Raw genomic sequence first — 13,919 nt, 5'->3', positions numbered from 1 at the left:
TTTTCTTTTTTTTTTTTAATTATACTTTAAGTTTTAGGGTACATGTGCACATTGTGCAGGTTAGTTACATATGTATACATGTGCCATGCTGGTGCGCTGCACCCACTAACTCGTCATCTAGCATTAGGTATATCTCCCAATGCTATTTCTGTTTCTAAGAATAGCCCGTGTTCATTGCAAACAACTGGAAAAATATAGAAAGAATAAGATTGAGGAATATCATCTATACCTCTATTACCCAGAGATAACCACTGCTAATATTTTTATATATGTTGTTTTCTATTTATCATTTTTATAAACATATATGGTAAAATTGCATCACATTGTATGATTATTTGATACCTGGGTTTTAAAATGTATTGTAGTATTGTGATTCTTTATTGCCTTGTCACTAAAAATTATTCTAAAAACATAATTTTTAATGGCTGCATAATATTTTATCATATGACTCTTCCATAATTATTTTCTTTTTGATGGTCATTTAAATTTCTTCTTCTCCTTCTCCTCTTTCTCCTCTACCTCCTCTTCCTCCTCCTCCTCCTCTTCCTCATTCTTCTTCTTTGCCATTATACATTGTGAGGAACACTTTTGTAGATAAATATTTGTAAGTTTCTTGGATTATTTCTTTAGTAATATATGCCTTGAAGTCAATTTCCACATCAATTTAATTCTAGATAAATTGGTAGTCTGATTTATAATCAGTTATGGCCTTTTCAAAAGCATTTCAAGAAAAAGTTTTGATATAGACTCTGACAAGCAAAGAAAGGGCATCTCATTTTACTCTTCTCAGTACTTTTGAAAATTTGAATTTGCGTATCTTCAAATTCAAGGCAAAAATTTATTATTTTATTACATGTATTTGATTACCTTTGTGGGTATTTTTGTTAATAATCTTCAGTTGTGTGAGTTTGAAAATTATTTGAAGATCACTGTTAATCAAATGAAATCTGTTGCTTGTTTAACCTAGCAAATATTTTTTATGCAGAAATAAGAGATATTAAAGAGCTTCAGGTAATATTATAATTTATTTCTGGATCTAGTAATTAGTTCTATCTAGATAATAGTCCTGGTTTTACAAGTATAACTAAGTCTATAATATTAAGCAAATTATTTATCTTCTTTAGACTTTCTTTCCTTTTTCATCTATAACATGAGGTATGTGACTAGAACATTTAAAGATATATTTTATCTTTATAATTTTATGGCTGCAAGATTTTTAAGAGGTGACTTCAAAGTAATAATATTTGAATTTCTATTGACTATGAAGGTCATTCTACATGAGTTACAAAACTCATTTAAGTTATATTTTTGAAATAAGTTTATGACCTACCAAGATTATCCTTATATGAAACATTAGGAGACAAAAATGTTTATTTGAATATGTGTTGATGTGTTTATAAAAAATTAATCTTATTATGATACTGAGAACCTCCAACACCCAAGGTTGGGCAAATTCAAGTTCATACAATGAATAGTTGCTTGGTGAATACCTAATTTTTAATAAACTCTGGCTTCTGTTGGATATTTTGAAGAGGATTCCACCTTTTATAATGTCTTTGTTGTTAATGGGCCTGTTTGAATTTTCTGTTCTCCATTAGTAGTGGATTATAGCAGGAATATATTTCACTTTATATTTATATCTATAGATGATATATTAACTTCTTTTCTGTTCTTACCAATGTTCATAAGTTTGGACTAAACTGTAACCATATCATATTTAATGTTTCAAAGTTTAGTAATAACTTCAGTATATGCAAATTTAATAATGAGAATTTCATGCGCTTTGCTTTGGGCTGAAGTAATTTGGCACAAATTATAAAGCAACAGATGACAGTATGTCAGGATTTAAATAGCAACTGATGTTAGACTCTTTCCACTTAGAATAACTCAGTTTATACCTAGTGATCTTAAATTGGAAAAAGAAAAATTATAAAAATTGGTTCTAAATTGGCTGTGCTGTGCATAGTTATTACCACATTACTGAAATCAAATAAGCCAGACCCTTAAAAATGGCAATGAAGATTGATACAAACCTTAAGTTTAAGATTTAAATTGAGCATTTTCTCATGGAATGTTAGTGAACCACATTTTGGGGAAATAAGTAATGAGAGATTAGGAAATTTGCTAGTAGCTGTCATGAAGCCAAAAATCTGTCCCTTACTTTGTGTGTATGTGTGGTGAAATCCTGGATAATACTGGATGTGTTTTATTTACCCCATTTAGGCTGAATCACATAGAAAATGTATTTTAGGAAAATCTTTAAAAATTTTTTTTGACAAGGCATGGTGGCTCACACCTGTAATACCAGCACTTTGGGAGGCTGAGGCCAGCAGATCACTTGAGGTCAGGCATTTCAGACCAGCCTGGCCAACATGGTGAAACCCCTGTCTCTACTAAAAATACAATAATTAACTGGGCATGGTAGCACACACCTGTAATCCCAGCTACTTGGTAGGCTGAGGCATGAGAATCACTTGAACCTGGGAGGCAGAGGTTGCAGTGAGCCAAGATGGCACATGTTTATATATAAAATGTAGGCTGTGATAGCTCAATGGACTGATTGAGGCTTGGAAAAAGCCATATATGTGTGTATAGACAGCTTACTCAACATATAATTTATATTTTTTTGGCTATTTGCTAAAAATAAGCCTATCTCTGTAAGAACTGAAGTAACTATTAGTCATCCTAGTTATCTAAAAATCATGTAAAATAACAAGATCTCTTCAAACTGGAAATGGAGGAGCCAGCAGAAGGAGTGAGAGTTTAGACTCACTCAGGATGAAGGAGAAGATCGACGAATAAATAGCTTTAAGTCATTTAGCAATGACCAAGAACCACACAGTAAGAAGACCAGGGGTCAAAGCTGAATTGGGGGAAACTAAAGGGGAGTAGAGCTCTGAGCACCAAGCAGATAGGGGAGTGCAGTTTGGGATCACTAAGGCTGCTTCTCAAGCTCACACCTGTAGACTTGATTTGGTTGTTTGACAGGAGAGATGGAGACGTCTAAGTAACAATGTGGACTTCTGACTGTGGTGGAGAATATGGAATATTTCTAATTTATATTAAATTTAAAAAGTCACATGACACCCCTAAGAAATCTGAACACATAAGCTAATAATAATAAGCAAAGGGTAAATCTATGGATTAATGTAAAAGTTAAAATGACAATAAAATGTTAAAACAAAATGAGTGTTATTTAAATTTAAATATGAACCCCATTCATATAAAAATTTAAATATGAACCCCATTCATATAAAAAAAGATAAAGTGTTTTTATGAATATTTTTGTTTCGACCATACATGACAGGAAGAGGAAAGACTTAAGATTTTGATTCTAGAGTAGAGCTCAGTGGAGTGGTTAACAGGACTTTCAAAACTGAACAGGCCATGTTTTTTTCAAGCAGTCATTGTTTCTGGTTCATTGACTAAAGAGATGTTGTTTTCAGGCAACTGAAAATTTCCTTTATTTATTCAAGCGCATCTGTGAAATCACTTTTCTTTTAAAAGATATGAAGACTTTCCAGGATAATGTATAGAAGACAGTTCTTTTGAATGTATGCTTGCTGCTTATTAAATGTTAAAAAAGGAATTTTATCTCTTGCTGATTTTCGAAGATAAGTGGCAGAGCTACAGATGAAGCCATAGTAGAGTCCAGGGCTTGGATCTAGTTATTTGCAACATGGTAGAGAGCAAGTACTCTTAGCTTCATTAACTTAAGAATTCCACCTGAAATGAGGTCACAGGGCTGCCTGGAATTTGCCTGGTATTATAAGTTCATAATGCCTTCATAACTTCAACATTTCTGGGGGGTGTAGATTGAACATGAAATTTAATTCAGTCTGAATATTGCAGATGTAAATTACTTTCAATTTTAGTTGGAGCTCTAGAAATTCATGAATGAGATAGAAGGCAAGGGGTGAGCTCTTTGGCTTAGATCTCTCTGGCTTTCTGGGAACATTTGGGGAGCAATTTAAAAGCAGGTGCTTATAGTTCTTATTTTCAGAGTGACAACATGAACAAGAAGGCTATTTAAGGCCTCTTTATTATATTAAGTTCAAATATCAAAAATCCAGTAGGCTAAAAAAAAAAAACTTTCTACTTTGAACTCAATAATTTTGACAAATTGGCTGAGCCTTGTTTTCCACGGAAATGATACATTTATCCATGATCCAAAAGGAAATCTGTTCCTTTTGTTTGTCAACGTGTGGTACAAATGTGTTTAGAGTGTGTGTTATGTATTTATTTTTGGGAGTGCTTATTACTGCGCCAATGAGTATGCCTTGTATCAAAGATGGGTGTTTCAACAGCAGATGTTTAAATTATATTTCCACTTTGTAGCAAGTAAAATTATTTTTGAGTTGTCAGAATAAATAAATATAGCAGTTTGAGTGATCTCTCCCAACTAGAATCTAACCTGAAGAAATTTAACCTAAGACAAAAGAAAACATATTTTTTGGCACGTATAATAGGAAAGAATTACCTAATACACATAAAATACGGCCTTACTCAGCCAGTTTAAGTAGGATGAATACGTGTGATACGAAGGGCATTTGGTGAGTGAGAATCTGAAGTTGTGGGGAAGTATCTTGAGAAGAGTGAGAGTAGGTAAGTGAAGATAGGTTTTTTTTTTAATCATTGAAAGCATTTTTGTGAAATGGTCGCTTGTAGCTGCACTCAACGTGTATGTTCTCCTTTGCTGGTGAGTTTTATGTACAAATATTATTAAACTAGAGAAATAAGTAGTTGCTACATTATTATCAGTATAACTAATTATCTGTCGTTCATCTGTGGATTATCTACTTAGGTATAATCTGTGGCCATTTTTCACTTCTGGATGTAGTTGGTCCCAGTGTCCAGTATGCCCCCTCGCCACACTCATCTACTCAGGATATGTTGTAAACTACACTGGATCAACTATTTTTAAAATGAGTTCTTTATTCTGTGTTCCTTTCTAGACGATGCAAGTAGAAGATTATACCAACATGAAGGCTTTTTAGTGGGCTTAGTAATACTCACATTTAGGACTATCAGAAAATTGGTTTTCTCAGCAAATTCTTCTAATTTAATTCATTTATGGTGGCCATAATTAAGGTAGGTTTGAGTTCAGTTATTAAAAACAAATACCACAGAAATCACACTGAACTCTGCCTCCATCTTGGCATTTACAAGAGGAAATTGGAGTGAGGGTTAGCCTTAGAGAGTGTTAGGATATGTGTAGATGTGTGTGTGGAGGACAGATGTATGTGTGTTGTGTGGAGGTGGTAAGATTCAGGGCCTAATTCTATTTCTCCAGCAAAAAAATCCCGTTTCTTTTTGATCATTGGTTGTTGCCAATGCTTTGTAAGACAACAATATGATGAACACAAATTTACAGGAAATTAATACTACTTTTCAAATTTAATGTAGAAGTAGTGGGATTCTTTTATCTTTTGACTCAGACACCATACATCAGAAGCATGCAAACAAAGGAAATTGCTATAAATAATTTTTAAATGAAAATCTATAATAATAGTTGAAGTATAATTTGGAGTGTGTGCTGATGACATTATCTCAGTGACCTTATGATGAACTGTTATTGTGTATATATGTTTGTGTGTGTGTATATGTGAGTGTGTGTGTATTTGCTCATTACTTCATTTAATGGAATCTAAATTAAGAGAATGCATCTGGAAGATGCTGGAGAAGGGTCATATTTTTTAAATTGTTGATATCTTTTGAAGTTAGTATCTAAATTCTGGGTATCTGATAATTTTAAGTAGGTTAAGTCCTGGAAATTCTGGGTAAATGAGCTTGCAAAAACCACAAGTACTTTTGCACCAACCTAATAGTATTTGAATCTAGAGTATCAAATAGACAGTATCCAGTTGGTAATCTGTGATGTATTCTCAGATCCAGATCCCCTCTCTGAATAGCATGAAGTCTCTTTTGGTGTTCAGTATGTGAATAGTTCCTTCATATTCCTCAGTTTCTGCATGTTTTGTCTTTCAGGGAGTTTGCCTGTGTAAATGGCTCTTAATTATCCATCCCAAGCACTTGCTTCCGATTTTGAATTATGGAATTAATTAATTTTCTTAATACTTCCTTTTATGACTTACTGTAAAATTACCCCAATAAGAAGGACTTTGTCCCTTAAATATTTGGAAAAATTTTTTGAGGCTAGATAAATGTAGAGGCAGTACAATATATTCTGTTCTTTACCTATAGTTACCATAATTTTGTTCTGGGAAGTTGGTCTTATGAGTGTGATCATTCAATATTAGTGATTAGTACCTATGTACCACTGGCTGACCGCTACTTGGGAGGACATATGGTTAAACTTTATTCCATTCTGCAGGGGAGTAGGTTACACCCCTGCCTGCGTTCAGCTAGCCATCTTCTAGTGTCTTATGTTCATAATGAGAGACCATGAGATAAAGTGCAGAGACTTCAGGGCAAACTGTAGTTACAGCTATAAAAACAACAATTTAGTGGAGTGGAAAGAAGACTGGATAAAGACAGTCTGAAGACATGTCTGGTTGACAGTTTTGTCTTTAATTGACTTTGGCCAGGTAAGTCACTTAACTTTTATAATTTTTTTCCTTATGTTTACAATGAAGGGGTTCAATTTAGATAACCTGTAAGAGGTTTCAAGAGGTTCTAGGTTTTTCTAGTCCTAATATTCTATCATCCTATATTACTACTAACTACCAAATTATCAGCTTTTTGACAGTTATTGAAATACTCAAAAGTTTTATGCAAGTAAAATGATAGCCCAGGATATTGGCTGATTGGTTACTTGAGTAGTCAGTTATGGAATTGTGCAGGATTCCGTTTTGGGACTTGTATTAGGGTTCTTAGGAGAAACAGTGCCAATAGGATACACACACAAACACACACACACACACACACACACACACAATATTCACACATATAAATTAAGCAATTGGATCAACTGGTTATGGAGAGGTCTAGACTCAGGAGAACTAATGATATAGTTTCAGTTTGAGTCCAAAGGCCTGAGAACAGGAGAGTCAGTATAAGTTCCAGTTTGAATCTAAGTCTGAAGACCAATGTCCCAGCTCAGAGACAGTCAGACAGAGGGAAAGAATTCTTGCTTTTTTAGCCTTTTATTTTATTCAGGCCTTCAACGGATTGGATAAGGCACACCCACACTGGGGACAGCAATCTGCTTTACTCAGTTTACTGATTCAGATGTTAATTTCATTCAGAAACACCTTCACAGACACACCCAGAAATAATATTTAATCAGTTATCTGGGGACCCTGTGGCCCAGTCAAACTGACACATAAAACTAATCATCATAGGATTGGAAGGCTCAACTATAAGAAGAACTTAGAAAAGACGTCTTCGAAATTATCTTCTTCACTAGATGACTAAAATTGATGAGCTCTTTTACTTTTTTTGGTGAGTTATTGGAAATCATAGTATTGCCAAACATACTGAAATAGACCCCTTAGGATGGTCTCAGATAACAGTATGGCTTATGAGAAAAGCAACAGCTAATGAGAATACAAATATTTATGGAAATAAGATGATTAAATAAAAATTAGAGACAGATATGAGTGAGATGAAAATTTTGGTAAAAATAAATGTTAAGTCGAAAAAATTATGTATTGATTAAAATAATCTTTCTCAAGCTAAGAGTTTTGGAAAATTACCAAATTCATTGGTCTTTTCAGTCGTGCTTGTTCAGATAGATGGCAATCCTTCTTTACTACTGTTTTCTTCAACTCAGGAAGAAAAATGCAAATTCATCTATTGTTACAGCTTGGTAGTGTGCAAAGAATTCTGGGAGAGAAGTCAAAACACTCAAGTCAAAGACTGGTATTTCCACTTAAATAGGCATGTCACTTAATCTCTCTGTTCCTTAATACTTAAGGATATTTTTCTACCTTAATATCTTAATTCTGAAGATATTTTGTTTATAATCTCTTTGTACCTCATCTATAAAGTGGCAATAAACCAATAACTGTCCACCTAAGAAGCCATACAAACCTAAGATTTTGTTGTTTCTTTCCTTTATTATAGCCATTTCCCTCATTTGTTTACTTAAACTTTTTATAGCAAGAACAAGAATCAGTGGAGCGACATTTACAGGATCCTCACTGCTTTTATTCTAAGTTAACATGATACTTTAATTGGAAACATTATGAAATTTAAAATAAATTTAATTTTGTTTCATTTAAAGCTGAATGAAGAAAGGAAATAAGGCTGCTTTTATGCATTTTCCTTCGGAAATATCTAACTTTGAAAAAAGTGACTCTTTTTGAGCTACTTTCAGTATTAACTGCCCTCTCAGGAATCTCTTTATAATTTTTAGAAACCAAAATCTTCATGCTGAAAGATACTGCAATTCTACTTTAGAAAGAAATGATACGCCAATAGAAAGCTTAAAACCAAAAAGGGAGAGTGAAGATGGACTAGGAGAACACAATGGAAGTACAATGGAAGAAGTGGGTGCAGAAACTAGGGTGCAGGTCCATCTTTCCCACTCCTTGAAGCTGGGCATGGTCATTGTAACTTGCTTTGTCCAACAAAATTCGGTAAAGTGACTTCATGCCAGTTACAAACCTGGGCTTCAAAAGGCCTCATGCATTACTGTTTTTCCATAGCCCAAATCCAGAAGAATAAATGAGTGCTCTTTTAATCCACTGAATTTTAAGGTGTTTATGCATCAAGAACTCACTGTAAGTTTCTTTTGAATAAGGAGCATGTCTTACTCATATTTAGGTTGTCAGGGTATGGTGACCAGGTACTCAAGTGGCATATTTTGTGAAAAATGTAATCGATACAGAAAGTTACAAAGAACAAAATAATATCATCTGGAACCAACAAAGATAAATTGTTTTCATTTTTTCTTTCAATTTTATTATTAAAAGAATGCTCTTTTGTTTTCTTCCCCAGAGTCAGTCACTATCATGAATTTAGGATGTATCTTTATGATTCATGTTTTGATACTTTAACTATCTTAATGCATTTATAAATAGTATAATTGTGCTTTGTGCATATTAGAAATATTTGTATGTATATGCATTTGGTTCACATATTATTCTACAATCTGCTTTTTAATTCAGTATTGTTTTGTGATCTATATATGATGATATTCATAGTTTTAGTGTTGGGAACAGGCCCCCAAATCTGGCGATAAACTGGCCCCAAAACTGGCCATAAACAAAATTTCTGCAGCACTGTGACATGTTTGTGCTGGCTATGACACCCACGCTGAAGGTTGTGGGTTTACTGGAATGAGGGCAAGGAACACCTGGCCCACCCAGGGTGGAAAACTGCTTAAGGCATTCCTAAGCCACCAACAATAGCATGAGCCATCTGTGCCTTAAGGACATGTTCCTGCTGCAGATAACTAGCTGGAGCCCATCCCTTTGTTTCGGCCCATCCCTTTGTTTCCCATTTTAGTTAACCTATAATCTGTAGAAACAATGATTATCACTGGCTTGCTGTCAGTAAACGTGGGTAAAACTGTTCATGGCTCTCAGTTCTGAAGGCTGTCAGCTGCCTGATTTCCCACTCTACACTCCATATTTCTATGTGTGTGTCTTTAATTCCTGTAGCGCCACTGGGTTAGGGTCTCCATGACTGAGCTGGCCTTGGCAAGTGATGCCCATATGTGGGGCTCAAACCCAGGTCAAAGGGTCACCGGAGTGATGGTTGGAGAATGTGGAACTATGCTGGGGGACACCCAAGTACTCTTAAGCAATCCCTGTGGTGAGTAAGAAGCAGAGCTCAGAAGCATCAGGGTAACAATGGGACAAGCGTGGGCTCTGGTTCGTTCTACCTTGGAACCTTTTCACACTAATGATGAGGAGGAAGGAGAGTATAATGAGGTAATATAAGAGGTGACAGAGCAGGTTTGTTTGCCAGCTAAAGCTAAAGTGGCAAAGGAGGGAGAGGTTTGTCCCAACCCTTCTGCACCCTCTCATTATTTTGAAGAAAAAAGAGTAGCTTGACCCTCCAGATCTTTCTTTTCTGGAGGACACTGGGTGAAAAGTAGTTGCCCCAGTGACTGTTCGGGCAGTGCCTCAAGCGACTGCTCTCAGTTCTTTTCAGGCAGGAATCCAGCAAGCTAGAAGAGAGGGTGATACAGAGGCTTGGCAGTTCCCTGTTAGAATACACCCCCTAGATCAATAGGGAAATATTATAGCTACATTTGAGCCTTTTCCTTTTAAACTACTCCAAGAATTTAAACAAGCTATTAATCAATATGGACCAGGTTTTCTTTTTGTAATGGGACTGTTAAAGAATGTTGCTGTCTCCAGTCAGATGATGCCAGTGGGGACAGCAGGATTACTTCTAGGTAGATCTAGTTTAAATTTAAAAGGAGTGCAAGTACATACAGGAGTCATTGATTCAGATTACAATGGGGAAATTCAAACTGTTATATCTACTTCTGTTCCCTGGAAAGCAGAGCTAGGAGAGCGTATAGCACAGCTCCTGATTATGCTGTATGTGGAAATGGGGGAAAAGTGAAATTAAACGAACAGCGATTTGGAAGCACAAATAAACAAGGCAAAGCAGCTTATTGGGTAAATCAAAGTACTGATAAACGTCCTACCTGTGAAATAACTATTCAGGGAAAGAAATTTAAAGGTTTGGTAGATACAGGAGTGGACATTTCAATCATTTCTCTACAGCACTGGCCATCCGCATGGCCAATTCAACCCGCTCAATTTAACATAGTTGGAGTTGGTAAAGCCCCTGAAGTATATCCAAGTAGTTATATTTTATCAGAGTAGTTGTATTTTGCATTGTGAAGGACCTGATGGACAGCCTGGGACTATTCAACCAATTATAACTCTGTACCTATAAATTTATGGGGAAGATATTTATTGCAACAACGGGGAGCACAAGTTCTTATTCCAGAGCAATTATACAGCCCTCAAAGTCAACATATGATGCATGAAATGGGGTATGTCCCTGGTATGGGACTAGGAAACAATTTGTGAGGTTTGAAGGAACCACTTCAAGCGGAAAGACAAAGTTCCTGCCAGGGTTTAGGGTATCATTTTTGATGGCGGCCATTGTTAAGCCTCCAGAACCTATACCTTTAAAATGGTTAAAGGGTAAGCCGATTTGGATAGAACAATGGCCACTGAGTAAAAGAGAAACTGGAGGCTTTAGAGGACTTAGTTACTGAACAATTAGAAAAAGGACACATAGCTCCAACATTTTTCCCCCTAGAATTTTCCAGTCTTTGTTATTAAGAAAAAATCAGGTAAATGGAGAATGTTAACTGACTTAAGAGGCATTAATTCAGTTATACACCCTATGGGGGCATTACAGCCAGGACTGCCTTCTCTTGCTATGATTCCAAAAAATTGGTCTTTAATAGTCATAGATTTAAAAGACTGTTTCTTTACTATCCCCTTAGCTGAGCAAGACTGTGAATGGTTTGCATTTACAATTCCTGCAGTAAACAACCTGCAGCCTGCTAAGTGTTTTCATTGGAAAGTGTTGCCACAAGGCATGTTAAATGGTCCAACAATTTGCCAGACTTATGTAGGGCAAGCAATTGAACCTGCTGATAAAAAATTTTCACAATGTTACATTATTCATTATATGGACCATATACTTTGTGCTGCCCCACTCGAGAAATATTACTCCAATGTTATGATCACTCGCAAAACTTGGTTTCTCATGCTGGTTTAATTATAGCTCCTGACAAAATTCAGACTACTACTCCTTACTCCTACTTGGGGACCTTAGTAAGTGACACTACAATAGTGCCACAGAAAGTAACCGTACATAGGGATCAATTAAAAACATTAAATGACTTTCAGAAATTACTAGGGAACATCAACTGGATACGATCTGCTCTAGGCATTCCTACCTATGCCATGAGTAATCTATTTTCTGTCCTTAGAGGAGATCCTAGTCTCACTAGCTCTCAACAATTAACAAAGGAGGCTGAGGCAGAGTTACAGCTAATGGAGAAACAAGTGCATAAGACTCAAATAAATAGAATAGGTCAAGAAAAGACTCTAGATTTGCTAATTTTTTCAACTCAGCATTCACCTACTGTTGTTATTGTCCAAGAGCAGGACTTAGTAGCATGGCTTTTTCTTCCACTTACCAATTCACGGACTCTTAACTCCTTATTTGGATCAAATCGCTACTGTGATAGGAACTGGGAGAACTCAGATTGTTAAATTACATGGATATGATCCTGGAAAAATTATTGTCCCTCTCACAAAGGCACAAATACATCAAGCTTTTGTAAATAGTCTTACTTGGCCAACCCATTTAGCTGACTGTGTGGGTATTCTCGATAACCATTTTCCTAAAACAAAGTTGTTTCAATTTTTGAAATTAATTGGATTCTCCCTAAAATAACTAAATTTAAACCAATTGAAGGTGCTGAAAATGCCTTCACAGATGGGTCTAGTAATGGTAAAGCTACTTATTCTGCCTCGAAAGGTAAAGTTTTTCCAACGCCCTATACTTCAGCTCAAAAAGCGGAGCTTGTAGCTGTAATTGAGGTATTGACTGTTTTTGATATGCCTATTAATGTGATTTCTGATTCTTCATACATGGTTCATTCTACACAGTTAGTTGAAAATGCTCAGTTACAATTTCATACAGATGAATAACTGATGTTTTTATTTATCCAATTGCAAGCAACAGTTAGGAGTAGAGTGCACCCTTTTTACATTACTCATATTAGGGCTCATACACCTCTCCCAGGACCTTTGAGTGCAGGGAATCAAATGGCTGATGGCCTAGTTGCTACTGCAATGTCTAATGCCAGACACTTTCACAATTTAACCCATGTTAATGCCTCTGGTCTCAAAAGCAGATACAGCATTACCTAGAAGGAAGCTAAAGCTATTATCTAGCGATGCCCAACTTGCCAAATGGTGCATTCCTCATCTTTTACAGGAGGAGTTAATCCTCAAGGATTGGAACCTAATTCTCTCTGGCAAATGGATGTCACACATGTTCCCTCATCTGGGAGATTAGCTTATGTACATGTATGTGTAGATACATTTTCCCACTTTGTCTGGGCTACATGCCATCAGGAGAGTCTTGTGTCCGTGTTAAACGTCACCTTTTGCAGTGTTTTCCAGTGATGCGCATTCCAGCTTCTACTAAAACGGACAATGCCCCAGGCTATACTAGCCAAGCTGTAGCTACATTTTTCTCTATATGGAATATTAAACACATTACTGGTATCCCATGTAATTCTCAAGGACAAGCCATAGTGGAAAGAATGAATCTCTCCCTGAAACAGCAGTTGCAAAAGCAAAAAGGGGGAAATAGGGACTATGGGACAACCCATATGCAATTGAATCTAGCATTATCGACTTTAAATTTTTTGAGCCTGCCTACAGGCCAGATGCTATCAGCAGCTGAACAGCATCTACAGAAACCAGCTGCAAAGACAGAAGCAGAACAACTGGTTAGGTGGAGAGATCCGATAACAGAAAGTTGGGAAGTAGGTAAAATAATAACTTGGGGTAGAGGTTATGCTTGTGTTTCTCCAGGCCAGAACCAGTAGCTGATTTGGATACCATCAAGACACCTGAAACCTTATCATGAGCCAGATGCCGAGGAAGAGATTCCAGGAGGATCCTGAGGACCCCCCAGTTGCAGCCATGTTGAGACTAATGCTGAGGAAGACCCCAACTGTCACAAGCAACACCTGTCAAACACAGCCACCTACCTGGGGACAGATCAAGAAGCTGTCACAGATGGCAGAAGAAAATCTAAGGAAAGTGGGACAACCAGTCACAATGAGTAATTTAATGATAGCTATGATAGTGGTGATCACCATTGCCATGAGTGTTCCTTCAACAAGGACTGGCACAGAGAACAATTATACTTATTGGGCATATTTATCAATCTTGGCTGGCAATAATGCCTGGATGTTATCACTCTGTGAAACAGTTATACATGCTTTCTGA

At 36.2% G+C, this 13,919-nt stretch overlaps 2 long non-coding RNA genes across 4 annotated transcripts in view; both read left to right on the top strand.

Annotated features, from left to right (window-relative positions):
• LOC102724210 (uncharacterized) overlaps nucleotides 1-13,919 on the top strand; it is a 396,780-nt gene that overhangs the window by 183,968 nt on the left and 198,893 nt on the right. The window lies entirely within an intron of this gene.
• The window catches only part of LOC107986312 (uncharacterized), a 53,794-nt gene continuing 44,201 nt past the window's right edge, over nucleotides 4,327-13,919 (top strand). Inside the window, exon 1 of the long non-coding RNA XR_001741826.1 lies at nucleotides 4,327-4,605. This is a non-coding gene — a long non-coding RNA (uncharacterized LOC107986312). The remainder of the gene's footprint in view (nucleotides 4,606-13,919) is intronic.

Source organism: Homo sapiens, chromosome 4 (assembly GCF_000001405.40).
Source record: "Homo sapiens chromosome 4, GRCh38.p14 Primary Assembly".
Taxonomy (NCBI): Eukaryota; Metazoa; Chordata; class Mammalia; order Primates; family Hominidae; genus Homo; species Homo sapiens.
The sequence above is the reverse complement of the archived record's forward strand: the minus strand, read 5'-3'. Positions and strand labels throughout refer to the sequence as shown.